This window comes from Homo sapiens, chromosome 2, assembly GCF_000001405.40.
Source record: "Homo sapiens chromosome 2, GRCh38.p14 Primary Assembly".
In the NCBI taxonomy this organism is placed as follows: domain Eukaryota; kingdom Metazoa; phylum Chordata; class Mammalia; order Primates; family Hominidae; genus Homo; species Homo sapiens.
The window spans coordinates 113,153,743-113,160,761 of record NC_000002.12 but is presented as its reverse complement, the minus strand read 5'-3'; the positions used below and the strand labels follow the sequence as shown (position 1 = coordinate 113,160,761).

General features: G+C 47.3%; 1 annotated feature.

The window, feature by feature from the left end:
• Positions 3,171-3,700: a silencer, noted in NCBI's record as "silent region_11879". NCBI's record gives its function as "represses an Ori minimal core promoter by ATAC-STARR-seq in GM12878 lymphoblastoid cells {active_cell/tissue: GM12878}" and the evidence as "EXISTENCE:reporter gene assay evidence [ECO:0000049][PMID:35858748]".

The window sequence follows — 7,019 nt, the reverse complement described above, 5'->3', positions numbered from 1 at the left end:
ATGTTGGCCAGGCTGGTCTCGAACTCCTGACCTTGAGTGATCTGCCAGCCTCAGTCTCCCTAAGTGCTGGGATTACAGGCTACCACGCCCGGCCAGCCACGACTATTTTATAAAGGGACCAATTTCATTTGCCAACTAGGAGCTTCTCCAAAAGTTAGGGCAGTCAGAAGTCCATTTTGGTGGACAGAATATCTTCAAAATTTGGGCCCAAGGTTGGCTCTCTGACATTGTTACAGCATAGTATGAGAGCACTTGGCTCAAAAATGGCACCAGCTGATGGCAAATTCTGATTCTTCACTTACTACCCATGTAACCTTGGCCAACTTTCTTACTTGCTCTGGGCCTCAGTTTTCCCATCTGTGAAGTGGGATCATAATAGTATAAACTGCATAGACTTGCTGCGGGAATTATTTGTGTTACTGCACACAAGTTACCCAAAGTAGGGCCTGGCATATAGTATGTGTTCAATAAATGCTAATGATTTATATGCTCTTGGGCTGGTTTTTTTTTTTTTTTTTTAAGAAAAACCTGTTAATGAGATCATCTAATAGTTTTAAGGATGAAAATAAAAATAGATTATTGGAATTTTCCCGGAAGGCAGGTTTTTTCTCATCTTTCATTCCCTGGGCATTTATTAGGTTGGTGCAAAAGCAATTGTGGTTTTTGCCATTAAAAGTAATGACAAACGTCACAATTGCTTTTGCACCAACCTAATACTAAATTTGAAAACCTCAGGGTCTGCTGCCCACTTAATTCTCATTGTGTGGCCCCATAATGTTATTATTATGATGATTATTATATTTTATTTTATTTTCGAGGCAAGGTCTCACTCTGTCGCCCAGGCTGGAGTGCAGTGGCACAGTCTCCGCTCCTGCAACTTCTGCCTCCTGGGTTCAAGCGATTCTCATGCCTTAGCCTCCCGAGTAGCTGGGATTACAGGAAAGCGCCAACACTCCTGGCTAATTTTTGTATTTTTAGCTGAGACGGGATTTCACCATGTTAGTTAGGCTGCCCATAATGTTTTGAAGGATGCAGAGTGTGAGTAAGAAAAGCAAATGATACCTCTCCTAGCAAAAGACATGCTCTCCATCTCTGTTGATCACTTCTTGCCCTACTTGGCATAAACTACCAGGCCTGTCCATAAGTTGGAGATTGTAAATCTTCCTGCCACAGCAGTGAGGGACACCATCTGCTTTCCTGGGTGCCTTTGGTCAAGGCTGAGCCCTACCCCAGCCTCCTTTAAGACAAGTCTCTGAGATGCCTGCTCCCCACCCCAGAGCCACACTGACCTCCTCCCTGTTCGTCCAGCATGCCCAGCATTTTCATGCCTCGCTCTGGCTTCAGGGCCTTTGCACTTGCTGTTCCCTCTGCCTGGAATGTTCTTCCCCCAGGCAGTCACATGGCTATGTCCCACATACATTCACGTCTCTGCTCAAATTTCATCTAAGCACAGCCTGTCCTGACTACTCTGTTGAACACAGCAGCCCCTATCAACTTTAACCCCTTAAGCTGCCTTGCTTTTCTTCAGATCCTTCATCTGACACGACATTAAAATTGCTATGTTGTTTATTGTCTGTTTCTCCCACAAGAAATAAGCTCTGTGAGATGCAGGATTGTCTTGTTCACTGATGTATCCTTAAAACCTGGAATAGTGCCTGGGACATACAGGCCTTCAATAAATATTTGTTGAATAAATATACAAATGAGTGAGTGAGTCAATAGACCATGTTTTCTGGGAATCTTAATCTCTGTCTTAGATTTAAGCTTCCCAATAAGAAACATACTCTTAGAGAGGGGCTACTCACCACTAGTTCATTTCTCACTGATCCTTTATAAGCAGCTTATAACTCCCTGCTGATAGGAACAGAGGGCACCTCATTCTGTGCCCCTAGATTTTGAGGACCTGAACATGAGACCATTTTCCCACCTAATTTAGAAAGTCTGTTTGCTACACTTTCTAGTTAAGGCCCAATTTCTCTTATACGTTTCACTGTCATGCCCCATATCCCTCTTTTTGGGAATTTTTCAGTTTTGTGTTTTCAGCATTTATTGCTCTCTGAAATAATGTCATTCAACAGCTTACTTGCTTATTTTCTCTTTCCAACCCATATGCAAATAAGAGCAGTAGTATTCGCAGTGCCTGCATGCCTGATTCGTAGTTGACACTCAGTAAATATCTGCTAGATGAGTGAATGAATGACTCTTCTTTATATGCTTCACATACAGGAAATATCACGTCTGGAAGAAAAGAATGAATCACTTGGCACTACACACTGTCTAAACCTGACCTTGGTGTGTTCTTTATGTAGAGAGTCTCATGGACATCCAATTAGTTGCTAATTAACATTCAATCAGCTCTGGGCCTCGGGAGGGGCCAAGCCTGAGGTTCAAGGGCAGGTGGGGCTTACTTGCCCAGTCTTCACTTTGATACTGGTCCCCTGACCTAGACATGCGGACCATGGACACAGAGGTCTGGCGAGTGCATTGACCAGAGCAGCAAGTCCATCCTGCAGCGTGGAAAAATCCAGCAAAGAACTCACTCACATTCTTAGCTCCATCATCCTACAGAAAAGATGAGCTAGACAATTCTAGAGCCAAAAAGAAATCCTAGAGGGATATGAGTTTGTCAGCTGTGCAGACACTTTTTACCTTCCCAGAAATCTCTCATACTTTCTTGCTAGACACACCTAGGAGGAGGGCCAGCACCCAAGGGGGTAGAGAAGAGCTGCCTGGTCCTCTAGCCCAGTGCAGTCCCGGGGGGGCAGCTCCCACCAAGCCGGGGCCACAGCCTGGCCTGGTCATGAGCACCAGAAACCACTGAGGCACAGGGCCATGACAGATTAGGAGCAAAGCCCTCAGTGTCGCCTGATTCTGACACCTGGATGGCTTTAAGGGCTCCTCCTGCTCGCCAGCCAGCGGGGCTTGGAGCCAGGATCCAACAGCGCGGCTGGAGTCGCCCGCGGCGAGAGAGCCCAGGCTGACTCCTTCAGTGGAGACAGCGTCCCCTTGCCGTCCCAGTCTCCGCCGCTCGGTTAGGCTGGATCCTCAGGGTCCCCTGCTCGCTCTCAACCCTCTCTCCGGCTCCAGGGACCCTAACCCTCAGCGACAGCCGCTCCGCAGGTGCTCGCCGGCGTGGCGAGAGCGCTGCACGGCACACGGTCACCGTCGAGGGCGGCGACGGCCGGGGGTGCCCCCGCCCGGCCCAGGCCTCCCCGTGGTCCCTTACCCATTTCCCGCCGGGCTCCTGCTCCGGCCTCCCGCGGGCCCGCGCGCCCCACGGCCCCGCGCCCAGGCGCCGGCTGGGGGCGGCGAGAGCTGCGGGGCCTCGGCTGCGCGCGCGGGGGGCTGGGCCAGTCCGGCTCTGCGCGCTCGCAGGAGGGACTCGGTTTCCGGGAGCGCAGGCGGGCGGGCGGCGGCGCAGGGCGGGGAGGGGCGGGCTGAGGCCGGGCCGGGGTTGGGGGTGGCGGGGGCGAAGCTGTGGGACTGGTCTGACCGCTGTGGCGCCGGGCTGGGCCGCCGGGCAGGCCGGGTACCTCCTGCGCGCCCCGCACGGCGCCGTCGTCTGGCCTGTGCGCTACCGGGCCGCAGGCTCTGCAAAGCCCTCCGGTTATTTTTCCAGTACCTGAACCGGAAACTGAGGCCCGCCCCAGATACGCGTGAGCCTTGACAGGGACTGTCTGGAGTCCCTACAAACCCCTTGTTCATTTACCATTCACTGGGCACAAGAAAAAGTTGCATTATTTGATTTCCAAATTTCACCTGTCTGTAACTGTTGGCTTACGGTGAACATTCACTAGTTGGTTTGGGGATTGGTGGCACAGAAGCAAATAGCTGTGATTTTACACTCAATCTATTTTAGCAAACATAAGCTCAGAACAGGTTGTCATTGGCGAGACGCTATTATTTTTCAATATCACCCTTGATGGCACTATCTGGTTTCTATTTCTGTAACTATGTAAGGCACCGTATAATGACATTTTGAGTTAAATGATTCCATATTTCCTGTATATTGTGAATAAAAGTTCTCCAGAAGGAATCTTCCAGTAAGCAGTTTGTAAACTGGAGAGGCACAACCTTTATTGTAAAACAAAGGTGCCCTTCCAAAGAACAAAGGGAAGGCTCGGGTTTCATAGCAAATGGTCCCACACAGGTTTCCTGTGCAAATGAAGGTTTGAAATTTGCTTAGTTCTGATTGCTTTACAAGGCCAACTTCTGATCGATCAATACATCTGAGTCCTGACTGGGTGATACAGCTGAGCCCTGATTGGCCAAGGCAGGTGAGCTCTGATTGGTTGGTTCAGGTGAGCTCTGAAAATCCCAGAAACAAGAAGGTGCTGGTTTCCAGAGAGCTCAGCATATGTGACCTTTAGTCAGCAAGTGACCACTTGGCTCTATTTTGAATTTAGACCAATACAGTCCAGTTATTTGACATGTAAAAACGGAAAAATAAAATAAAATAAAACAGATTTAGGCCGAGTTAGCCACTCAGGATCCATCTTGAAGAATTGGCTCTTGAAAGTTCACATTTATTCACAATATCTAGTGAACATTTTAGCTCCCCTAGGAATTGGCAACCTAGAGAGGTCCATTTCTTGATTTGATGCTGCTAAAATGAAGCTGACCAGGCTCTCTACAAGCAGCAACAACCATGATAACACCTAATATTTATTGAGTGCTAGGCAATAAGCTGTCCTAAAACATTTAATCCTCACGGCAACCCTATGAGTTAGGAAGCTTTACACCTCATGAGGAAACTGAGGCACAGAGAGGCTGAGTAACCTGATCAAGGACGCACGGACAGGCAATCAGGCAAGACCCAAAGACCATGCTCTAAATCAGCAGTCTGCAACCTTTTTGGCACCAGGGAGGGACTGGTTTCTGTGGAAGGCAATTCTTCCACAGATAGGGGAGGTGGGAGTGGATGGTGTTTCAGGATGATTCAAGCACCTTACATTTATTGTGTGCACTTTATTTCTGTTATTATTACATTGTAATATATAATGAAATGATTTTATAACTCACCATAATGTAGAATCAGTGGGAGCACTAAGCTTGTTTTCCTGAAACTAGACAATCCCATCTAGGGGTGATAGGAGACGGCGACACATCATCAAGCACTAGATTCTCATAAGGAATGCACAACATAGATCCTTCGCACACACAGTTCACGATAGTGTTTGCACTCCCATGAGAATCTAATGCCGCAGCTGATCTGACAGGAGGTGGAGCTCAGGTGGTAATACAAGCAATGGGGAGTGCCTGTAAATGCAGATGAAGCTTTGCTCTCAATCCCCCACCCCCAACATGGTCCTAACAGGCCATGAACAGGGGATTGGGGACCCTTGCTCTAAATCAATGTGCAACACTACTGCTTAATCTTTTTAGATGGGGATCTGATGCTAGGTTTAATAATCCTATAACTTATTAGTTCATTTCTTCACTCTACAAATATTCACTTCAGTATTCACCTACTGTATATATGCCAAGCACTGGTTAAAACAATGAACTGAAAACTCCAAGAGCTTGCAGCTAGCAGGGAATATAAGCAGTAGTGTGAGGTACACTTGTAAATTGTAAACTTGGGAGGCTGAGTGGGATGTCTTTGAGGGGGGAAATCCTGAAGGAGGGAGCCACAAAGAACAGAAGCCCAACAACTACATGCAAACTCCTTTAAACTCTTGGCAGATTCCTGAATGAACAATGCAAGGAGGAAGAATCTAGATAACCTGAAGGAGATCAATAGTGAGCAGAGATCTGAGCAGTTAGTTACCGTCTCTGGGAAAGTTCCACCATCTGAGAGGGACTTGGTTCTATTGTGCTTTCCACTGAAACCCTAGAATGACCACCCCTTAGCAGGAAAGACTGCATCCCAGCATTAAGGGATATACCCTAGAATTAGGGACAAAACCAAAAGAAATTCATCCAAACAAAGCACAAAACCAAATCTCCACAAAACCAAGGTGAGTTTTCAATAATTTAACTTACTGTTAGAACAAAACTTGACACTCTTCAAAGGAAAATAGAATGCAGAGCATCTACAATGTATCATTCACAATGTTCATCATATGACAAAAAATTATTAGACATTCAAAAAAGCAGGAAAATGTGAGCCATAGTCAAGAGAAAAAAATCAATCGAAATAGACCCACAGGTGACCAAGATATTGGGATCAAAAGACAAGGAATTAAAAAGAAAAACTATGATAAATATGGTTAAAAAACACTTTCAGCAAAATATAGATATAACGGGTAAAGAAACCAGGCATTTCAGCAGAAATATAACCATTTTTTAAATAAAGTGCCAAAAGGAATATAAATAAATCCACATCAATGAAGGCGATATCTGTATCTTTATTACCCCAGAATGAAGAGACATCCCAACTTTTGCCCTCCAGGGGGAAGCCTGGGCAGGTTTGCCAACAGCCCCTGTGTAAGTTCAGGGCCTCCTAATATTAGGGTCCCTTTTTTTTTTTTTTTTTTTTAAGACGGAGTCTCGCTCTGTCACCCAGGCTGGAGTGCAGTGGCACCATCTCGGCTCACTGCAACCTCTGCCTCCCAGGTTCAAGTGATTCCCTTGCCTCAGCCTCCCAAGTAGCTACGATTACAGGTGCACGCCACCATGCCTGGCTAATTTTTTGTATTTTTAGTAGAGACGGGGTTTCACCGTGTTAGCCAGGATGGTCTCAATCTCCTGACCTCGTGATCCGCCCGCCTCGGCCTCCCAAAGTGCTGGGATGACAGGCGTGAGCCGCCGCGCCCGACCAGGGTCCCTTTTCGTAATGTGCTTCACTATGTGTTCAGGTAACATATGGAGCTCATCACAAGTCCCTGTAGAAAGTGGGGCTCAAGGCCGGGCGTGGTGGCGGGCGCCTGTAATCCCAGCTACTCTGGAGGCTGAGGCAGGAGAATTGTTTGAACCCGGGAAGTGGAGCTTGCATTGAGCCGAGATCGCGCCTTTGCACTCCAGCCTGGGCGACACAGCGAGACTCTGTCTCAAAAAAAAAAGAAAAAAAAAAGTGG